General features: G+C 37.8%; 2 long non-coding RNA genes across 3 annotated transcripts in view; one reads left to right on the top strand and one right to left on the bottom strand.

Annotated features, from left to right (window-relative positions):
• LOC101929507 (uncharacterized) overlaps positions 1-21,675 on the top strand; it is a 203,870-nt gene extending 182,195 nt beyond the window's left edge. For both annotated transcript variants that reach the window (XR_001746621.2, XR_001746620.2), the window contains one exon: positions 20,730-21,675. This is a non-coding gene — a long non-coding RNA (uncharacterized LOC101929507). The remainder of the gene's footprint in view (positions 1-20,729) is intronic.
• Positions 1,323-8,018, bottom strand: LOC124902326 (uncharacterized). Its single transcript, XR_007061894.1, has 2 exons — positions 7,979-8,018; positions 1,323-1,585 (listed from the first exon to the last, which is right to left on the bottom strand). It is a non-coding gene; the product is annotated as an uncharacterized LOC124902326 (long non-coding RNA).
• Positions 21,676-24,107: the final 2,432 nt, after the last annotated feature.

The raw sequence follows: 24,107 nt of genomic DNA, 5'->3' as shown, positions 1-24,107 counted from the left end.
TTCGATCTAGTTAGGTCTATATTTTATGATTCATTTTTATTAATCTCCTTAATATTGTGTTCCTCTTCCTTCTTTCTAGCTTTTTGGAGATTATTTGAATATTTTAAGATATATTATTTATTTTTTTCATTGGGTTTTGACTATATGGTTGTCAGTAGTTGTGATACTGTAGCATAGATATTCAAGATGTTATCCATTGGAGAAACAGTGATTGCAAAATAAAAAGTTTAACCTCTAAAAGACAATTTAAAACTTGAATAGGTAGATTATAGACTGAAAGAAAACATTTCAAAATATGTACTGGCAAATGATTTGTTTTCAAGATTTATAAAAAAAGTCCTATAGTTCTATGATAATATGCCAAAATGATCTGATAAAAAGTTGGCAAATGATTATCAGATACTTCATAAAAGAAGATCCATGAATAACCAACAAACATAAGGAAAGCTTTCCACATCATCAGGGAAGTGGGAAAGGCAAATTAAAACCATGATGAAATACCACTACATACCCACCAGAAAGGCCGAAGTAAAGAAGATTGACATCAAATATTAGCAAGGATGTGGAGTAACCAGAACTCTTAGACACTGTGAGTAGGAATGTAAAATGGTACGATCATTTTGGAAACAGGAACCATCATTTTCTATAAAACAAAAGATACACCTAACCTTTGATTCAAAAATTTCCCAACCAGGTAATTTCCCAGGAGAAATGAAAATATATATCTATAAAAAGACTTATAAAAATGTGCACCATAGCTTAGCCAACAATGGATTCAACTCATGTGTCTGTTAATAGGAAAATGGCTAAACAAACCACTGCATATCTATACATTAGAATATTGCTCATCAATAAAAGGGAACAAACTATTGATACACGCAACATGGATGAACCTCAAAAACATACTGAGTTGAAGAAACCTCACACAAAAATACAGGCTGTAGGATTCCATTTATACAAAGTACTCAAGCAGGCAAAACTAATCTCTAGTGGTATAGAAAACAAAAACAGTGTTTGCCTGAGGGGGTGAGTGGTGGGTGAGAATAGATTTGGATGGGACCTGAGGGAACTTTCTCTAGAGATGTAATGTTCTGTATCTTGACAGGGTTTGGGGTTACATAGTTGTATATCATTTGTCAAAGCTCAATAAATGATATACTTAGAATTTATGCATTTCATCATATGCAAATTTTACCTCTAAACCTATAAATAACTGTACATAAAAAATCATTTAGTTAACATTCTGTGTATTTGATATTAAGGAATTATTGTTAATTTTTATTGTCTGTTTTTTCAGCATAATAACAAACAACCATAACATATCAGTGGCATCAGCAATAGGCATTTATTTCTTGCTCATGTGTTTTTGAGTGGCTTGGAGTGCCCCTTCTTCAGGCTTTTTTTTGTTGGGGTGGCTCCAAACTTCAGATAGAAACCAGGTTTTCTCCATGTATTTCCTATCTTTCTTGGACCAGTGGTTATATTGGAGGCATGTGCCTCTCATGTAAAAGCAGGAACATGTACAGGTAAGCCCAGTCATATAAGCACTTTTCAAGTTTTGCTCGGATGATGTCCACTAACAACCCTGTGATGAAAGCAATTCACATATATTAGTCCATTTTCATACTGCTATGAAGAAATAATCAAGACTGGGTAATTTATTTTAAAAAAGAGGTTTAATGGGCTTACAGTTCATGGCAGAAGGTGAAGAAGGAGCAAAGGCATATCTTACATGGTGGCATACAAGAGCGTATATTTTGCAGGGGAACTGCCCTTTATAAACCCATCAAATCTTGGGAGATGCATTCACTATCATGAGAACAGCATAGGAACCCCCCCCCACCCCATGATTCAATTACCTCCCACTGGGTCCCTCCCATGACATGTGGGGATTATGGGAGCTACAATCCAAAATGAGATTTGGGTGGGGACACAGCCAAACCATATCACTCCACCCCAGCCCCTCCCAAATCTCATATCCTCACATTTCAAAACCAATCATGCTTTCCCAGCAGTCCCCCAAAGTCTTCATTCATTTCAGCATTAACTCAAAAGTCCACCATCCAAAGTCTCATCTGAGACAAGGCAAATCCTTTCTGCCTATGAGACAGTAAAATCAAAAGCAAATTAGTTACTTCTTAGACACAATGGGGGTACAGCACTGGGTAAATACACCCATTCCAAATGGGACAAATTGGCCAAAATTCAGGGGCTACAGGCCCCATGCAAGTCCAAAATTCAGCAGGGCAGTCAAATCTTAAAACCCCAAAATGATCTCCTTGGACTCTGTCTCACATCCAGGTTACACTGATGCAAGAGGTGGGTTACCATGGTCTTGGGCAGCTCCGACCCTGTGGCTTTGCAGAATACAGCCCTGCTTCTGGCAGCTTTTATGAGCTGCCATTGAGTGTCTGTGGCTTTTCCAGGCACACAGTACAAGCTGTTGGTGGATCTACTATTCTGGTGTCTGGAGGACAGTGGCCTTCTCTTCAGAGCTCTACTAGGCAGTGCTCCAGTTGGGACTCTAGGGGGATTCCAACCCCACATTTCCCTTCTGCACTGCCCTAGCAGAGTTTCTTCATGAGGGCTCCATCCCTGCAGCACACCTCTGTCTGGACATCCAGGTGTTCCCATACATCCTCTGAAATCTAGGCAGAGATTCCTAAACTTCAGTTCTTGACTTCTGTGCACCCACAGGCCCAACACCACATGTATGCTGCCAAGGCTTGGGGCTTGCACCCTCTGAAGCAACAGCCTGAGCTGTATGTTGGCCCCTTTTAGCCATGGCTAAGACACGGGTTACTAGGTCCTGAGACTTCACAAACCAGCAAGGCCCTGGGCCTAGCCCAAGAAATCATTATTTCCTCCTAGGCCTCCCAGGCTGTGATGGGAGGGCCTGCCGTGAAGACCTTTGACATGCTTTGGAGACATTTTCCCTATTGTCTTGGCAATTAACCTTTGGCTCCTTTTTACTTCTGCAAATTTCTAGAGCTGGCTTGAATTTCTCCTCAGAAATTGGGTTTTTCTTTTCTATTGCGTTGTTAGGCTGCAAATTTTCTGAACTTTTATGCTCTGCTTCCCTTTTAAACATAAGTTTCAATTCCAAACCGTATCTTTGTGAATAAATAAAACTGAATGCTTTTAAGAACACCCAAATCACCTCTTGAACACTTTGCTGCTTAGAAATTTCTTCCTCCAGATACCCTAAATCATCTCTCTCTAGTTCAAAGTTCCACAGATCTCTAGGGCAGGAGCAAAATGCTGCCAGTCTCTTTGCTGAAGTATAACATGAATCACCTTTGCTCCAGTTCCCAATAAGTTCATCATCTCCATCTGAGACTACCTCAGCCTGGGTTTTTTGGTCAAAACCATTCGACAAGTCTCTAGGAAGCTCCAAACATTTCCACATCTTCCTGTCTTCTTCTGAGCCCTCCAAACTGTTCCAACCTCCGCCTGTTACCCAGATGCAAGTTGCTTCCACATTTTGGGGTATCTTAGTAGCAGCACCCCACTCCTAGTACCAATTTACTGTATTAATCCATTTTCATACTGCTATGAAGAAATACCCGAGACAGGAAAATTTATTAATACAAAAACACAGGTTTAATCAACTCACAGTTCCACATGGCTGATAAGGCCTCACAATCTTGATGGAAGGTGAAGGAAGAGCAAAGGCACATCTTTCATGGCAGCAGGCAAGAGAGCATGTGCAGGGGAACTGCCATTTATAAAGCCATTAGATCTTATGAGACTTATTCGTTATCATGAGAACAGCATGGGAAAAACCCACTCCTTGATTCAGTTACCTCCCGCTAGCTCCTTCCCGTGACGTGCAGATTATGGGAGCAACAATTCAAGATGAGATTTGGGTGGGGACACAGCATAAACACATCATATGGCCAAACTCAGATTCAAGAAGTAGGGAAATATTTGATGCCAAATCAAGGTATGGATGAATAATACTAATAAGAGGGGGTGTGTTAAGAATTAGGACCTTTGATATTCAATCTACCGAGGTGTTATTATAGTATTATGTTAAAGATTTTAAAGTAGTCTTTATTTTTGGAAATACATGCCAAAATATTTAGGGGTTAAATGATAGATAGGTGGAATTTGCATTAAAATAATCTGAAGAAGGAGAAGTGGGTGGAGGTATAGAGGAAAATATTGGCTAGGAGTCTATAATGATTAAAGGTAGATGTGTGCCCTAGAGGGTTCAGTATACCATTCTTTGTACTTTTGTATATGTTTGAATTTTTCATAATAAAATATTAAATAATAAACCAAAAGAAATCATGTGTGAAATCTGTCACTTTTATATGTGAGGAAACAGGTTATGAGAGGGTGTGCTACTTGTTCTTTGATGAGACACCTAGTTCTTGCCAGAATGAAGCTAGGATCCAAGCCAATACTTTTCATTAATGCGGTTTTTGGTCATTTATTTGCTAATTTCTCTAATGTTTAATACTAGCATCTGTGCAAAATGTTATGGATAAGAAGATAAAGCTTTCTATTCCTGAAAATCCCCTAGTCTAATGGTTCAATGTAGATCTAAATAATTATAATAGAAGGATAGGAGTAGAGTAAAGTGCTGTAATGAGGGTATACACAAAATTCATGGGTACACAGGAGAAGGCATCTCTAAATTTTATTGAGAAAATCCAAGAAGGCTTCATACATGAGGTAATATTTTGACCAAAAATCGCAGGACCAATGAATAAGCCAGAGACTGCATTGTAGGCAGCAGAAGCAGCCCACACAAAGGTGATGAGGTGTAAGACAGCATGGCATTTTGGCACTTTAGGGGAATTATATATGACTCAGTGTAGTTAAATGTTAACTTCAGTGTATGTATCGAGGGGTTCTGGGGAAAACAGGCAGGAATGATGAGGCTGGACTTACATGCTATGCAAAAAGTTGAGACTTAATTATTTAGATCAAGGTTGCCTTGCCTAATTATAAGAATCGCCTGGGGCTCTCATTAAAATATAGGACCTTAAAGTCCTAGCTCTGATCTAATGAATCAGAACCTCTAGGGGAAAGAAAAGTTTGGGAAACATGACTTGGGAACTACTGAAGAATTTTAAGCAGAGGAGTGATGTGTTCAGATTTGCATGTTAGAAGGACCACCCTGACAGCAGTAGAGAGGTTAGACTGGTGAAAGGTAGGTGTACAAAGCTAGAGGTATGAAGATGAATCAGATGGGTGCTGCAAGAGTCAATAGGAGATATAATGAGTTCCTAAGTCATGACAGCAGAAATAATGGTTGAGAGGAAATGATGTTACAGAGCTAGGATTGGTAGGCTCCAATGAGTAATTGCCTCTAGAGAGTAAAACAGGTGGATTCTCCTTTAAATGTCTCACTTGATGGGTGGTAGGATAATGTTCCTGTTGACTTTCAGACACAGAGTTCAAGGATTCAGGATGAGGTGGTATAGCAGACTAGATAATGAACTCATTTTGGGTCTTGTACAGCCTGAAGTACTTATCAGACATATAAAGAAAAGTATCCAGAGGGCAGGTCTTGATTTCAAGAAAAAAATGTTAGCTACAGGTAGAAATTTAGTGAGCATCAATATGAAAGTCTTAGTTAAAACGCTAGGTTTGCATTAGATTTCTCAGCTAGATGATGTAGTTTGAGAATGAAAGAAGTCAGTACCCAGGAAAGCAGCAGCATTTAAGGGAGAGACAGAAAGGAGATTTGTTTAGAAAGAGAAGGAGAGGGAAGTATTATGAAAATCAGGTGGGCAAATAATCACAAATGAGTATGGAAATATGTTCACTGGATTTGGCAAAAACAAAGGTTGGTGTTGGCCTTACCCAGGGCAGTGTCAGTGAAATATTGAAGGCAGAAACTATAGTTTTGGGTGGAGAACTGAGTAGGAGTTGAAGAAGAAGAGAACAAATGTAGTTAACTCTTTCTAGAAGCTTCTCTGGGAATAAAGTACTGTTCTACCCTTATTTGAGTAGGAAACATTTTTGGAGAGGGGTGTGCTTAATTAAATATGTTGCTCCTTTTCCCTGGCAAGACCTATGATTCTTGACAGGTGTTAAGGTTTACTGGTTTGCATGTTTGAAAGAACTGATAGGAATTCCTTTTAGTCCTTGTGTTGAAAATTCATTAGCTAGTCATTCATTGTTAATTTATGGCATGGATTTAAGAGTTTGGAGTAAATTTGTATGAAAGAATCCAGGTGTGACTACAGTCTGTACGAAAGAACACATATATATTGTGTTACATACTTGGGGTGACCATTCTTATGTTGCTAACATTCATATATGTTTGTACACCTCAGGAAGGATATTTCCTATATATTTGTGTAAATTTCAAAACTAATGCTGTACTGGAGATTCATCAGGTCTTTCCCAAATTTTTAAAACCAAAATTTTGAGAGGATAGATTAGATAGCTAGCTAGATAGATATAGATACATATTTCTTAGAGACAAGGTCTCATTCTGTCATTCAGGCTGGAGTACAATGGCACATCATAGCTCACTGTAACTATGAACTTCTGAGATCAAGCAATTCTCTTCCTTCAGCCTCCCAAGTAGCTAGGACTACAGATATGCTCCACTGTGCCTGGCTAACTTAATTTTTTTTTTTTTTAAGAGATGGAGTCTCACTATGCTGCCCAGGCTGGTCTTGAGCTTCTAGCCTCAAGGGATCCTCCCAATTTAGTCTCCCATAGTGCTAGGATTACAGGCATGAGCCACCACACCTGGCCTTTGAGAGAATACTGACAGTGAATTTGGAGACAAGCTGTCAGGAAAAACACATGTTTTATCTTATTTTATTTTTAGATTCAGGGCATACATGTGCAGGTTTGTTACGTGGATATATTGTTGATGCCGAGGTTTGGGCTTCAATTGAACCTATGCCCAAATAGTGAACATAGTATCCAATAGGTATTTTTTCAACCCTTGTCCCCTTCCCTGCCTCTCTGCTTTTGGAGTCCCCAGTGTCTATTCTTTCCATCTTCATGTCCATGTAAGGAAAATTATGTATGTTAATGTTAATTTTCTTTCCTCCGTGATTAGATTTTTAAAAGAGCTCTTGAGGGTCTATGATAAGGTTTTAGAATGTATGTTTATTTTAAAGTTCCATTTTATATGTTATCTGTTTAAATCATAACTCAAGCACTTCTTTTTGAAGTGCACTCGTGTGCCACATAATGCTGTTTCGGTCAATGGCAGACTGCATATATAACAGTGATCCCATAAGATTATAATGGAGTTGAAAGTGTCCTGTTGTCTAGTGATGTCATAACATCATAGCACAATGCATTACTCATGTATTTGTGGTGATACTGGTGTAAACAGATCTACTCTGCTGCCAGTAGTATACAAGTCTGGCAATACCATTAAGCACAGTACATAATACTTGAGAATGATGATGAACGTCTGTGTTACTGGTTTAGTATTTACTTACTATACTTTTTACCATTATTTTAGAGTGTCCCCCATCTACTTATTTTTAAGAAATTTACTGTAAAACAGCCATAGGTTGGTCTTTCAGAAGACATTTCAGAATACGTTGTTGTTATAGGAGATGACAGCTCTGTGCATGTTCTTGCCCCTGAAGACATTTCAGTGGGACAAGATATGGGGGTGGAAGACAGTAATATTGATGATCATGACCCTGTGTAGGCCTAGGCTAATGTGTGTGTTTCTGTCTTAGTTTTTAACAAGAAGGTTTAAAAAGTAAAAAAATAAAAATTTAAAAATAGTAAAAAGCCTATAGAATAAGAATACAAAGAAAAGACATTTTCTGTACACGGAACAATGTGTTTGTGTTTTAAAACTAAGTTATTACAAAACAGTCAAAAAGTTAAAAAGGCTTATAAGGTAAAAAAAATTATAGTAAGCTAAGTTTAATTTTTTATTAAAGAAAGAACATTTTTAGTGTAAATTTCATGTAGCCTAAGTGTAATGTTTATAAAGTCTACAGTAGTGTAGTAGATATTCACGTTCACTTACCACTCACTCACTGACTCACCCAGAGCAGCTTTCAGTCCTGCAAGCTCCATTCATGGTAAGGGTGCCCTATACAAGTGTGCCATTTTATATTTTTATACCATATTTTTACTCTACCTTTTCTGTGTTTAGATATACAAATACCATTTTATTACAATTGCCTACAGTATTCAGCACAGTTACATGCTGTATAGGTTTATCGCATAGGAGCAATGGGGTATGCCATAGAGCCTAGGTGTGTAGTAATCTATACCATCTACGTTTGCGTAAATACACTCTATGATGTCACACAGCAACTAAATCACCTAATGATGCATTTCTCAGAATGTATCCCCGTCGTCAAGTGACCCATGACTGTACTTGTTTGGTTACAATTGAGAGAATTTATTACTTTTCTTCATCCCCATATATCTTAGCAGACATGAAGCAGGATTGAAAAAAAAGAATTCTCATTAAAGTCTATTCTGAAGGTCGTCAACACTGCTGCCCTCCTCCCCCTTTTCCCCACATTCGTCTGTGAATTTGAGAACATCCGCAGGCTGACAAGAATCTTGGGAAATAAATGAAATGCAGATGAGTTGGAGCTGTACTATCATCAAGACTTGTTGTCTCAGTAAAGAAATGTTTTAGGTCAGAGTGTAGAGAAGTGGACCCTAAGAGGAATGTGATGATCCTTTATGGGAAGATGATTGTTCCTGCTGTGGTGGCTACTGCTGTACCTGGGATGGGTTAGTGGGGCATGAAAAAGAATAAGACTACCACAGAATGGGGTTTGGAACGGAGAGTTAAGAAAATGATTAAAAGTTTATATTTGCTACAATATGACTATTAAGATGATCTGAAAATGCCTAGAAATAAATAATAAAGTATAAGAAATATTTTCTCAAGTGCACAGCTAAGCCTATAGAAAGTAAAACAAGATTTTTGAGGGTCAAAGTCACAAAAAATATGAAACTAGACTAGTAACTAGGCCATAAATCTGCAGGTACTCAAAGGGAATTAGCCAATCTTGGTAACCAAGAATCTATCTTTAAAGAGTCTTTTGGGGATAGAAAGTAAACCTTAGGCTGAGCAATGAAGAGTCAAGACCCTCCTGTATAATGCCAGAATCTCACTCAGTGTAAGGGTAGGCTTTGAAAATTCTTTCTGGCAAAGGGAGATTAAAAAATTGATCTGTCCTGGTCAGAGATCTGGATAGCTGAAAAAAGCTCACCACACCACTTGTAAGGTTTCTGCAAAGTCAAGCCCAAGGCATTAACATAAAGAGGTCCTCAGTTGCAGTGCCCCTCAGACATTTGGGGAAACCAAACAAAAAGCCTTTCTTGGAAGTAAGAGCCCTTAACTTAGTATGGTAAAGATTACTACAGATAAGGCCCCATGAATAAAAACTCACTAACAGAAATTATAAAACACAAATGGGTACAAGCCATCATGAACAAGAGTCAGCAGAATCTGTAAATTTCAATAATCGACACCCAAGATTTCAGATACTAGAATTATTAATTTCAAAATGTTACATATATATGGACAAAATGTTGATGGAAATAGAAACTAGAGCTAATGACATGAAAAAGAAACAAGGTACTATCAAAAATGACAGGCAAACATAATGGGCATATTTGGATAAAAAATACAAAAGTAAAGGAAAATATCACAAAAATGAAAAGTCTGATGGAGAGTTTAAGCAGTAAATTGGTCATAGCTAAAGAGAGAATTTGTGAACTGCAAATTAGATCTGAATAAATCACCGATAATGATACACAGACAGAGGCAGAATGATGGAAAAATGACAGAAAGAATAAGAGATGGAGAAAAGAATGAGAAAGTCTAATATATATTCAGTGAGAATTTAGAACAAAAGAGTACAGAGTCCAGGAGTGGTAATATTCAAAGGGATAATGGTTGAAGGTTTTTAGAATTAATGAAAGATTTAAATCGTTAAATTTAGAAGGTGGAAGAACTCCAAGCAGGATAAATACAACTGCAGAATACGAGAGATAAAGAAATGTTTGAGACAACTTAGGAAGAAAAGACGAATTACCTACAAAGGAATAACTGACTGAAAACAGACTTTTGAGTAGCAACAATAGAAACCAGAAAACAGTATAATAGTATTTTCAAAGATCCATCAAGGAAAATTTAATTCCAGCATAACTATTACTGACAAACAAGTTGAAACACAGCATTTCTGGACAAAGAAAAATTGAGCATTTAATACCAACAGACATGTACTAAAGGAACAAAAGGAACATTGTAGGATATACAGCAAACTTCGGGATGAAGAGAACTGAATCCACAAGGAAGGACAGAGATGCAAAATGGAGTAATGAACAAATAGATTGGGAAATCATATAAGTAAATGTGATCAAACATTGGCTGGATAAAACAACTAAGACCATCACAGTGACCAATTGTGAAAAAAACATTATAATGAAAAATCTGGATTAGAATGCAAAAGGGAGTAATTAAGTGTTCTGAGAGCTTTTGATCATTTGGGAAGAGACAGTGAGCTTAACTTTAGTTTGTGTTATGTGAGAATGCATGTTGAAATTTTAAGGTAACTCCTAAAATAATAGAAGTATTTGATAATACTTTTAATGTGCTAGAGGGAAATATGTAATAAACATGCCAGTGAATTCAAAATGAGGCACAAGATGAAGAAAAAAAAAGCATGTACAAAGAGGCTAGGTAGAAACTGCAAAATAAGATGAAAAAATTAAATCCAAATGTCCTAATCACAATAAATATAACAACACACAGATTTTCACGTTGTATTTTAAAAATTAATGAATAACGTAGGCTCAAAATATCTAAAACAAAAATTGGAGAATTACAAAGAGATTGTCAAGTTCACAATTAAATTGAGAGAATTTGAGGCCTGTATCCTACTAATTGGTAGGTAAAACTAAAAAGTAAAAAAAAATAAAAACAAAAATATGGAAAAATACAACTAAGAAGCTTGATCTGATAGTCATATACTGCTGGCCCTTGAACAACACAGGTGTGAACTGTGTGCATTTACTTACATGTGGATTTTTTTCAGCTAAAGGTGGATTAAAAATGCAGTGTCCACAGGATGTGAAACTTGAGTAAACCAATGGCTGACTTTTTGTATATGTGGGCTCTGTAGGGCTGAATTCTGGACTGGAGTAGGCATGGATTCTGGTATACGTGGGGGTGTCCTGGAACTAATTTCCCATGTATATTGAGGAGCAACTGCATAACAATTGAAGAATAAATGTTTTTTCTCAATCACATAGGAGATAGTTGTGAAAATTGATTACACACCGGGCCACAAAGCAAGTATCAACAAATTTCAGAAAACTGGTATCATACTAACTGTGCTCTTTGATAATATTAATTAAAAATCAACATTCAATTCTTTCAAAATCTGCTAGAATAGATAAATTGGAGAAGATTGAATGAAAAGAGAGATTAACAAATGGTAGGGACAAAACAGCTAAATTACTAAAAGAAGGTTTTTCAAACAAATGGTAGTATGCTTAAAATTTTATGTTAATATTCTAAAAATTTGGACAAAATGGATACCCTCATATAAAACAGAATAATGAATAAATATACAAACATTAAAGTAATTGAACCAGTAGTTGAAAATCTACAAATTCCAACTATATACACACACACCGACACACACACAAACAAGTACAAAAAGGGTGTCCAGTTTTAGGAGTGAGTTCTACAGGACTTTCATGGCAGAGATAATTACATTCTTTCACAAATACCTACTTTCAAAAATAAAAAATGGGAACCTCCCCACTTAATAGTTTAGTATAAATTCAAAAAGCTAGAAACTGACTCTGGAACCAATACTAAAAGTAAAACAACTCAGAAAATATGTATAGCAAGGCCAAGAGATTCATTATGCTTTGAATGCAACTTTGAGAGAAATAGAGCATAAAATTCAGGAAAAGCTATTATGACGAAAAAGAACCAGAATTTTACCTCCGTATACAAAGATTTTATTTCCTAAACAACTTAGAGAGTGAAAAAAGTCATTGTCATGGGAAATAAAGAACAACTAATAATAAAATTTAGCTAAAAATAAAACCTTATAACCACATGTTAAACTTGTTTGCTGATGCATCGAGACAGAATGGCAAAGTAGGGAGAGGAAAAGTATGTTTTTAAAATAACATAGTATGAATGAGGTATCTTAACGCTATATGCAATTATCTCTTCTAATCTTTACTAAAGCTTTGAAGTAATTAATGTCATAATTTTTCAGATTAGCAAAAGGAGGCTCACAGTTCCAAGCTAGCCAGTAGTAGAACCGAGGTTAACTCAGTCCTACGCTGTTTCAGAAACACCATATTTCATTCTTGACACCAAGATGACGCTTAAGAACATATCAAATTTTTAACTTGGATCAAGCTGAGTAATATGAGCCCATTTAACTAAAAGTAACACTATTTTGTGCCTAAAGCAGACCCTTAAATTATACCTCTTAAAAAGAAAACAAAATATAAAATGTACTATTTATTAAAAAGTATAAAAATGAATATGTATTAGTTGAAGAATAATGATAAAATGAACGCTTGTGAAACTATCACCCAAGAAATAAATTGTTCTTGGTACCTTTGAAGATGCCTGCACATCCCTCCTTCCCAGCACCTTCAACACCTCCTGGAAGTAACCAGTATACAGACTTTTGTGCTAGCCTCTATAATTTCTTTATAGCTTAACCATATGTAAAGATATCCTAACAAGATACTATTTATTCTTAGGATGATATGCAATGCTTCATTCTGTATTGGATCTCAATCCAGAAAAAAAAGAAGCTTATAAAGAAAATTTTTTTGTCACAACAAGCAAAATTTAAATCTGGAATATGTATTAGATAATAGTATTGCATCAGCAATGTTCAGTTTTCTCATTTTGTTAAATGCACTGTGATTAAGTCATAGAAAGTCCTTGTTTTAGAAAGCACTCTTGAGTATTTATAGAAAACAAAATTAAAATAAACACATGGAGTACAAAGCACAAACCTAATTCCCTCCATAAGATGAAGGCTCCCAAGAAAAGATGAACTGAACAGAGTTGTTCCCTGGCAACCCCTTTCTGAGAGTTTACAAGACTCTATTCTGGCAAAGTTGATGCAATTATGAATGTGTCCCTGCCAGGGTGAAGGAGGGACAGTTTCATAGTCAGATAGATTGGGAGGGGATACAGGGACTCAAGGTTCTTGCACATGGCTATAAAGCTGTACAGTTTTTGTACTGCACAAACCTGGTAGAATGGCAACAAGATGGGGGTTGGAGGGTGTGCCGAAGTTCAGCCTAGAAATTTTCCCCAAGAAGTAGGCAATAGAAGGGGTTTATTTTGCAGTGTATTTATTTTGTAATGTATTTATTTTGCAATGTATCTGTTTGAGGAGGTATTTTTTAAAGAATTTTCATGAATGCTAACTTCTTGCTGAGCTAGTTCTACTAACCTCTTATTAGCTCTCAAACAGCTTTCAGAAAGTTGTTATTTTAGCCCTTTCTGACTGTTCACTTCTAGATTCAGAGATCCCTTCTGCTTCTATATCCTGTACCTTTTGAAGATTGTTGGGCGGCAGGAATGACACTGGTCCTCTGCTTTCTCCACTGTCAGCTCAGGGTTTGGCACTCTTGTGTTGGCTAAGTCAGGGGCCACTGGACCGCCTGATTCCAGTTATAAAATTTGGTTGCTGTGTGTGCTCTCTTGTTCTCCCCGTCCTTGAGATGTGTCTTTAAACAAATCCTTCAGTGAAGTTTTAGATGAAGCAATAGGAGAGGCACATTTCAGCCTTCCATCTTAACATAGAAACCTCTCAGATATCTAGTACAGAAACATAATCACTGGTTTTTACTCTTCCTTTAAAATCTGTGTGTCCTGCAGGAAATAAGGTGCAAGAAGGTGAAGAATGGATTAGTAAAGCCCCAGTGATGAAGTCTTTAGTTGGAAAAAAAATTCTCGATGTCTGTCTCTGCCTTTCCGGGTAATAAATGCTTAGTTGTATGTTCGACAGCCCCGTGGCTCTCTAGTGCAGAGCTGATTAGGACTGGAAGTAGCCCAGGTGCTCCACTCTCATCAGGAATTAGAGTCTAGAATGATCCGGGTTATTCTAAACCTGTTATATTGGGCAGTGTAACCTTAGTGCTATGGTTTGAATGTTTTCATCTCCCCCAAATTCTTATTGAAATCTTAACTCCCAAGGTGATTATATTAGGAAATAGGGTCTTTGGGTAGGTGATTTCCTAGTCAGAGCCCTGTTATTGCCAATTTGAAATCATATGCATTTGATGCACTAAAATGTGAAATCCAAAAAGACCCCTAAAATTTGTTAAAGTGAACCTTATCCCAAGAACCTATAAAATAAAAACTTTGTATTAATTTCTTTAACAAATACCTTATTAATATTTTATAAACTTTATAGGGCCAGTCCACAGTCATGAAATTCAGTGTTAGTCTAAAAGCAATTGAGTTCAGTGTCAGAGGTGAATGATCTCAGTTTACCACTGAGAATTATTTATACTTTAATAAAAAGTTTCTCAGTCTAGATTAACCTAGTTGATTAGAAAATTATGTTAATGAAGGAAAAATTAGAGTTTAAAAAGTGTGTAAGTTAATTTTTCTTGCATTCACAATCTTAGCTGTAACTTCTGGAACTGGCCAACTGGCTGGATTCTTTTACAGTTACTAAACTGTACCAGCTGTGGTGAGGCAAAAGTGTGAGCCAGTGCAAGAAGTTCATGCCTTGCTGATGTAAATCAAAGGTTTTATTCATTCCTTTCTTTATTCACTCATTGCTTTATTCAGTAAACATTCTGAACAACTTTTCTGTGTTGAGTAGAGTTTTATACCATGATGTTATATAATTCTCACAAGAATTTCATTATCTCCTTCCTCAGGGTCTGAATGATTGAGAAAACCCCAAATCTGTGCTGTATGGCAAAAAGTAAAATAAGAATTCAAAGCCAGGTCTTCTGACTCTAACTTCAGGATTCTTTTCCCTATATAATGGTAATCAGCTAGGAGATCACCACTGAAATAGCTGGATTATTTTATAAAATACTGTAATTCAGAAAACGTAAACAAAATTTGTTTTATACTGATATATATTTTTATTAGATTTACTGAAATAAAGATGTTTAGAAATGTTTTGTTAATACACAAAGGAAATTGAAATTCTAAATAATTGCCAACAGAATAGTATTTTACTTTAGTCTCTGCATTCGTTCATTCTGTGTTTCTATAAAACAATACCTGAGATTGGGTAATTCATAAAGAAAGGAGGTTTATTTGGCTCACAGTTCTGCAAGCTGTAAAGGGAACATAGTGCCAGCATCTGCTTGTGGTAAGGCATCAAGAAGCTAACAATCATGGCAGAAAGTAAAGGGGGAGCCGGTGTATCACATGGTAAACAAGGGAGCAAGAGAGGAAGGGGGAGGGTCCAAGACTTCCTTTAACAACCAAATCTTGCATGAACTCATCACTATGGGGAAGGCATCAAGCCATTTATGAGGGGATCTATCCCCATGATCCAAACACCTCCCACTAGGCCCCACCTCCAGCACTGGGGATCACATTTCAACATGAGGTTTGTAGGGGAAAATGTTCAAACTATATCATTTCACCCCTGGCTCCCTAAATCTCATGCCTCCTCACATTGCAAATTATAATCATCCTTTCCCAGTGGTCCCAAAGGTCTTAACTCATTTTTAGCATCAACGCAATCAAAAGTCCAAAGTCCAAAATCTCATTTGAGACTCAAGGCAAGTTTCTTCCATCTATGAGCCTGTAAGATTAAAAACAAGTTATTTAATTCCAAGACACAATGGTGGTACAGGCATTAGGTAAACATTCCCATTCCAAAAGGAAGAAATCAGCCCAAAAAAGGAGGCAATCGATTCTACAAAAGTTCAAAATGGCAGATCAGACAATAAATCTCCAAAATAATCTTTGACTTCATGTCCCACATCCAGGGCACATTGGTGCAAGGGTCGAGCTCCCAAGACCTTGAGCAACTCCACCCTTGTGGCTTTGCAGAGTACAGCCCCCATGACTGCTCTCACAGGTTGGGGATGAGTGTCACCTGCAGCTTTTCCAGGCTCAGAGGGCAAGCTGCCAGTGGCTCTACCATTCTTTGGTCTGGAGGGCAGTGGCCCCCTTCCCACAAATCCACTAGGCAACTGCCCAATGGGAACTCTGTGTGGGGGCTCAAATCCCACATTTCCCCTCAGTACTGCCCTACATGAGTCTCTCTGCTGGTGCTGTGTCCCCAAAGAAGGCTTCTTCCTGGAAATCCTGGCTTTCCCACACACCCTCTGAAATCTAGGTAGAAGCTGCCAAGCCTCCTTCAGTCTTGCATTCTGTGTGCTCGCAGGCTTAACACCACATGGAAACCACTAGAGCTTATGGTGGCTTGAGTTCTCCAAAACAGCAGTCTGAGCCATAGCTGGGGCCCTTTGCACCATGGCTGGACCTGGAGTGGCAGAAGGGTAGTGGGAGCAGCCTCCCAGGTGGCAGGGGGAAATGGTGCCAAGGCTTGGTCCCTGAAACTATTCCTTCCTGCCTCTAGGCCTATGATGGGAGACTCAGCCTTGAAGGCTTCTGAAATGCCTTTGAGCCCTTTTTCCCATTGCCTTGGCTATTAGCACTTGGCTCTCTTTTAGTTGTGCTCATCTCTCTAGCAAGTGGTTGCTCTGCAGTCTGTTTGGAATCTTCCCCTGAAAATGCACTTTCCTTTTCTACCACATGGCCAGCCTACAAATTTTCCACAGTTTAATCCTCTGCTTTCCTTTTAAATATAAGTTCTAACTTTAAGTCATTTATTTGCTCCTGTAGCTGATAATAGGTTGTTGGAAACAGCCTCAACGCCTCTTGAATGTTTTACTGCTTAGAAATTTCTCCTACCAGATACCCTAGATCATCATTCTTAAGTTCAGCCTTCCACAAAGTTGTAGGGTGTGGACAAAATGTAGCCAAGTTCTTTGCTAGGGCATAACACGGGTGACCTTTGCTCCAGCTCCCAATAACTTCCTCAATTCCATCCGAGATCTCATTGGCCTGGACTTCACTGTCCGCATTTCTATCAGTGTTTTGGTCACAACACTTAACAATTTTCTAAGAAGGTCTAAGCTCTCCCTTGTCTTCCTGTCTTCTTTTGAGACCTCCAGCTCTTCCAATGTCTGCTCATTACCCAGTTACAAAGCTGCTTCCACATTTTAGGCATCTTTATAGCAACTCTCCACTCCTGGTATCAATTTTCTGTGTTGGTCCATTTTGCATTGCTTTAAAGGAATGCCTGAGATTGGGTAATTTATAAATAAAAGAGGTTTATTAGGCTCCCAGTTCTGCAGGCTGTTCAAGAAGCATAGTACCACCATCTGCATCCGGTGAGGCCTCAGGAAGCTTACAATCGTGCTGAAGGGTGAAGGGGGAACTGGCACACACATGACAAGAAAAGGAGCAAGAGAGTGAGAGGAGAGGTGCCAGATTCTTTTTAACAACCAGAACTCATGTGAATTCATTACTACAGGGAGGCTACCTGGTCATTCATGAGGGACTTAACCCCAGGACTGAAAATTCTCTAACTAGGCCCCACCTCCAACAATGAAATCACATTTCAACATGAGATTTGGAGGGGACAGACATCTATACTATATCAGTCTCTAAACTTCCACCAAAATATATTCTTCAACTTAGTGGGAGAGATTGTAACTGTATCATTTTTACATGTTGGAACATTATTTTCCTCATTTTTTCCCCCAAAATAGTTTCATTGTCTATTTTATTAAGAATTATACTAATGATAATCAGTTTTTGTTATTAAAATGATTTTTAGAAGAACCTATATTTAGCTAACCAAATATCTTATCAATTTCCCTTCATGTGACATTAAGCTACTTTCAAAATTTATTAAAATCTATTTTAATGAAATGTATTAAGATAATGTCATAGGAAATTTTACAAGAATGAGGCACGTATCAACTTTTACCAGGCACGGTAAGCAAAATTATGAATTTTGTCTTTATTTCAGTTGTCATCTTTATCTAATTTAACAATGCAGGTCTAAATTTCCTCAAGATTTTTTTCCTCATAGAAATACTAAAAAGATAGATGATCAATAGATGGGTTATGTTTTAACTAGACAACTTGATTCTAAAGTCCCTGAATATTATTTTTCCTGAAATAATGCTGAAAATGAAAATGAGAGGGTTCTACACCTATCAGATATTAAAACTTATATATCTATAATAATTAAAACAGCATAGTCCTGGAATACAACTATAAATCAATTAGGGAACACAAAATCTATAAACCCAAAATACATAAAATAATTTAGTATGTATTCAACGTGGCATTTAAAATTCTAGAGTAACTGATAAATGGTCCTGAGACAACTAGGTAGCCAGTTCACATAAAAGGAAATTTATATGGTTTGTAAACATATGAAAAGCTGATCAACGTCATTTACAGTAAGAGAATTTCACCTATAAACTTCATGAAGATGAAAACATTGACAAGAGTGTTGGGAATCAACACACTCATTCACTGCTCGTGGGAATGTAAACTAGTTCAATTTCTATAGGCAATTAATCCAAATTGATTAAAATTTAGGATGAACACTCCCTTTGACACAACAATTATACTTCTGGGATTCTATTAAAATTTATCTTTGGAAGGTACACAGGAACCTGCTAATAGTGTAGTTGCTGTTTCCTGTGAGGAAAAATGGGTGTCTGGGGGCAAGATAGTGAGTGTGTTAGTCTGTTTTCATGCTTCTGATAAACACATACCTGAGACTGGGTAATTTATACAGGAAAAGGCATTTAAAGGACTTATAGTTCCGTGTGGCTGGGGAGGCCTCACGATCATGGCAGAAGGCAAGGAGGAGCAAGTTACATCTTACATGGATGGCAGCAGGCAAAAATAAAGAGAGCTTGTGTAGGGAAACTCCTGTTTTTAAAACCATTAGATCTTGGCATGGTGGCTCACACCTATAATCCCAGCACTTTCGGAGGCCAAGGTGGGCAGATCACCTGAGGTTGGGAGTTCGAGACCAGTCTGACTAACATGGAGAAACCCCATCTCTATTAAAAATACAAAAATTAGCTGGGTGTGGTGGTGGGCACCTGTAATCCCAGCTACTTGGAAGGCTGAAGCAGGAGAATTGCTTGAACCGAGGAGGCAGAGGTTGTGGTGAGCCCAGGTCACGCCATTGCACTCCAGCCTGGGTGACAAAAGCAAAATTCTGTCTCAAAAACAAAAAACAAACCACCATTAGATCTCCTGGGAATTATTCACTATCATGAGAACAGCACAGGAAAGACCCACCCCCATGATTCAGTTATCTTCCACTTCGTCCCTCCACAACACATGGGAATTATGGGAGCTACAAGATGAGATTTGGGTGGGGACACAGAGCCAAACTATACGAGTGAGTGAGTTTGATTAATTTTTTTATTCTTTGTACTTTCATGTCTTCTTAATTTTATCCATATACACATGCATGCAATCCAATTTAAAAATAAAAATATGGAAAGCAAAACATTTGTTTTTTCTATTTAAGTTTTAGTGAAACACAAATTTACCATGCACAGTTTCAGTTTTACACTTTATTCATTGTTTTCCTATAAAGTCTTATTTTTTTCAGATTAAGTTTTTAAATTTCTAACTAATTTTACTAAGTACTATTTTTGTTATTTTTATTTTGTGTTGGTTGTTATTATTAGTTAAGCTAAAAGACTGATACTTTTGTTTATTTCTTGGCTAACCTCTGAGAAAATTGTGAGGAATTCCCCTCTGGTATGTCCTGTCATCATCACTGGCAAAATGGACAAAACCCAAAGAATTCTGTTAGCTTCAAAATAGTGAGGTCAAAATTGGAATGGCAATCTCCCTCTTTAAGATAACCTTGAATGTTACTGTGAAAGTCATCTAAATAATGTTTTATTTCTTTCTAAGGGCTCTTGCGTAACTCCTTTCTTTCATGTTTTGTGTGTAAGTGGAGGGTTTGGTGATGAAGACAGATCAGGGAGTAAGATATTGGATATACTTCTGCTTCCCTGATTAAGGTATATCAGTGCTTAACATTCTCAGGTATCTGGCAGCATCCAGTATCTCTCAGCAAACCAGATTCTAAATGGTGGTCCAATTAGAAGACTAAAATTAGGCCACCAATTCCAACCTCCATTATGAGAGAGGTTCTTGTTTCTAATATTTGAAGAAGATGTCAATAATTAGAAAGGTTGATATAAACACTCCTGTAGACATTTGCAAAGTTTAATTATACTGGGCATTTCTACTAGCTTTTCTAGATCTAGTAACCCAGAGTAGGGCTAGATAATTCATTATGTTCCTAAAAATTTAGGGGAAATGAACCTGTTTTTTATAGTAATGCCTACTTTACACCAGGCTTTGGGCTGCACAGGCATTGAATTTAAAGATAAGAAAGACATGTCTCTGCATACCAAGGGACCTTGGCATTCATTTAATCCCTGCCTTTTCCTATTGCATTGCCAGGTAGGTGGATGAAAATCATTGTGGTTACTTGTTAGATTTTTCACATAGATCCCTGAGACAAACACTTCAACTTTAGAGAGCAGCTTAAGAAAACTTTTTTTAAACCAGCTAATGGTGAATTTCAGTCTTACAGTTCCCTCTGTATCCTGTGCCATCACATTGCCAATTTGATTGCTAATTACTCTGCATTATCCATAAGCCAGCTACAAACATTTTTAATGGGATGTTCTTTGTTGTAATTTAGGGGCAGTGACTGCTGTCTCTGTGTACTTCGGAACATTTCTTTCTGAGCCTATAAAGTGTTTGGCTGGCATGCAGGGGCCTGAGGAAGCTTAAGGAGAAACCTCGTCCCATGACACATAATCCTACCACACCCTGAAATGGATAGATGGTTGGGTCATGCCAGTGTGCACACACAGACTGGTAAGTGGAAGATTAGCCAGAATTGTGAAAGATGCTACCATACAGCCACCCAGTTCTGCCAAAGGAGAAGGTCACTTGCCAACGGCAAATGTAAATGGCCATGAATATCCTGTTCTCTTTCTGTCAAAGTTGGTTCTGAGCACTGAGGGGAGAGACAGAATTAAAAGTAGACACAGCAGCGAGTAAAGCTATCTCTGTCTAATGGAGTGTCTGTATTTTTGGGTACATGATTTTTCTATACCTGAGATGAATAATTCATTCTCAAGGAACCCCAAAGCAAAAGTTTAAAGATGATTAAAAAATAACTTTGGCTTCTGATCTTCTGATAACTGGGAACTCTGTGATAGAGACATAGAAAACTATTAGGAATTAAAACCAAAACAAGACCGGGCTTTAGGGATTCCCCTCACACTATTATACTGTCATGGAAGGCTCAGGATAACCAGGCTAGCCGTACATAAAGTAATTAATAAAGTAGGTCAATTACAAAGCTAGAAGAGTTTTATTTAGCGTGATATTGATCACATCTTGAATCATCTCCCTGAATCTCCGTATTTTTCTTTTTTATTAAAAACAGAATAGCGTTCTTGAAGAATTGTTTTATCTACACTTCTGTAATTGTTCTCTAAACAGAGAATTGTTTAGAAGGACCAGTTCCCTAGCAATATATGACCTTTCTAACTATACTTCATGTCATCTCATGCAGGCCCTATCTTCTGTAAAATTAGGCCTCCATTGTGTTTCTCACTCAAGATTCTTCTTTATTATTTCCCAGATTCTCTGGATGGAGCATTTTCTTTATAAACAACATATTTGTGCTCATCTGTTGTGGATGCTCTTGGTGCCCCATCCAGACCTCCTTTACCAGGCTGATGCACGAACACTCTAGCTTCTAAGAATGTTCACTGTTAGCTTATAGATTCTCCTTTTCTACAGAGTCACCCTTGGCTAAGTAGGAGCCACTATATCCTTTAGTATACATTACCAGCTTATAGCCATTGATTAAGGGAAGACAAAAGTCAGCCCTTGTCTCAAGGTAGGGCCAATTCTGAAGTGAAATTCATGCTCCAGAGCTCCCTGTGGGGCCAGGCTACAGTTAGTTTCTAGCTGGGCCACATGCATGCTTAGCTTGTTTTGCCTTATCCTGCTGCCCTCACTTCTCTTCCCCTGAGAACACTAACACAAGAGTCCCTGTCCAGGCCCTGCTTCAAGGGAACCTGCCAATCATCATGACTGTGAACATTTAGGGCAGGTGGGTAGGAGTCTGAGAGTGGTAATGGGATTGGAGGGGGTTTAGCACATAATTTACCCTAATAAGTGTTTGCTAAATGAGTGGATTTTCCAGGCTTGATGCTTGGATTAAAAGTAGCACAGCTGTCTTCAAAAGATCTATTTCTCAAGCAGGGCTGGGCTCCCTGATTCACTCCTGGATTGGAAACAAAATAAGTGGGAAAATTTCATAAGGCTTATTGTCGAATAGAAAGACATTGATGATTGTTAATGATGTTAATTAATCAACAGGGATTATTAAGTGCCAGCTTTTCCCAGCATGTGACTAAACACCCAGGTCTGTGGTAACTGTGATGAAGAAAATAACCTCTTTTATCTTATAAAAAAAAAATCTTATCTTCATGTGGAGATAAAACTTACTCAAATGAAACAATGAAAATATAAGACTGTGTTCACATGACAAAATGTACTTCATAGGTAATAAGTTCCAAAGGAAATTCAGAGAAGTAAGAAATCAATGTGGGCGTTTGTGAGTTAGGCAAGTCTTGGAGGAATAGGTGTGTGTGGGAGGGACAGGAGAGAAGACATTCCAAGTGGGAGAAGAGGTAAGAAGAAAGGTGTGGAGACAGTAATGAGGATACTACTATTTGCCAGGAGATATAACATGAGAAAATAAGTTCCCCCTGAGTTCACTTCCTTTTTATATTTCCATCCCATTATCCTATTTCCATTTATTCTTCATTCATTTATTAATTCAGTAATCAAATATTCTTTGAGACCTACACTGTTCCAAGAACTGCATTATGTCTTAGGGATATGGGAATGAAAAGAATACCCATCATTGTTCTCAAGGAACTGACAGTCTCCAGAGAGATAAAATTAGCAAACAGACAATTACAATACAGGGTTGTCATGGTACTTTAAGAGTAAGCATAGGGTGCTAGGAGAGAACAAAGGAGAGGCATGGAAGCCAGACTTGGGGGAAGGTCCAAAAAGGCTTCCTGAAGAAGTGACATCTTATTGGAGACATAAAGAGTGGGTAGAATTTAGCCAGGTGAAGGAGAGTGCAAGAAAATAATTGTGGGGATGCATGGTGCTTTGAGGAAAGTGAGGGGTGCAGTATCACTGATGTGTGTGGAGGACAGAAAGACCAAGGGTGGACAATAAACGGGCCAGATCAGGGACCACCCTGTAATTAAAGGAGTATGGACTGCATCTTTAGGGCCATGATAACCATTAGTTGACTAAAGTATTAAAATTACTTGATCGGATTATTTCTGAAACATTACTTTAGTTGGAGTAGTTTGAATAGGTTGGTCTCGACCAAACTGGATGCTGATAGACATGCTAAGAAGCTTTGTTATGCACATGGCAAATGATGGTGGGAATGGAGAGAAGTGAAGGTAAAGTGACATAAATTGGAGTTTCATTGGTTTTGGGAGAAGAGAATAAAAAAGTCGAGAATAATACTGAAGAATTTACATTAAGCAACTAGGGTGGGGAGTAATGGTATCTTCATCAAGTTAGGGAGCATGAGAGGAAGAGTGAGATTGGGGAACAGATGATTACTCAGTTTTTGACGTGATAGTTTTGAGAATCCTGGGGATAATCAAGCAGAGATGTTGAATAGGTGGGTCTGGAAGTTAGAAGACACTTTTGGGGTGGCAATATAGATTTGGGGTTTCTACTAATAAACCACTCACTTTACTTCCATCCTATTTTGTTTAGTGGTACCAACACCCTCTTATTTGCTCAGGTTAGAAACTCATATTTCCCTAAGGGGTCCATGGATGGGCTTCATAGGATTCTTGAACCTCCTTGAAATTGCATGCACAATTTTGGGTATAAGTGAATAAGTGCCTTTTTCTAGTACCATGAGATGTAGAATTTTATGGAATTTGCAAAAGGTTACTTGACTTCCCTCTTGTCCCCCCAAAACAAAGAGAATCCAAAGTGACTTGGGGTCTTT

This window comes from Homo sapiens, chromosome 9, assembly GCF_000001405.40.
Source record: "Homo sapiens chromosome 9, GRCh38.p14 Primary Assembly".
Classification (NCBI taxonomy): Eukaryota; Metazoa; Chordata; class Mammalia; order Primates; family Hominidae; genus Homo; species Homo sapiens.
This window is presented reverse-complemented; position numbering and strand designations above follow the sequence as displayed.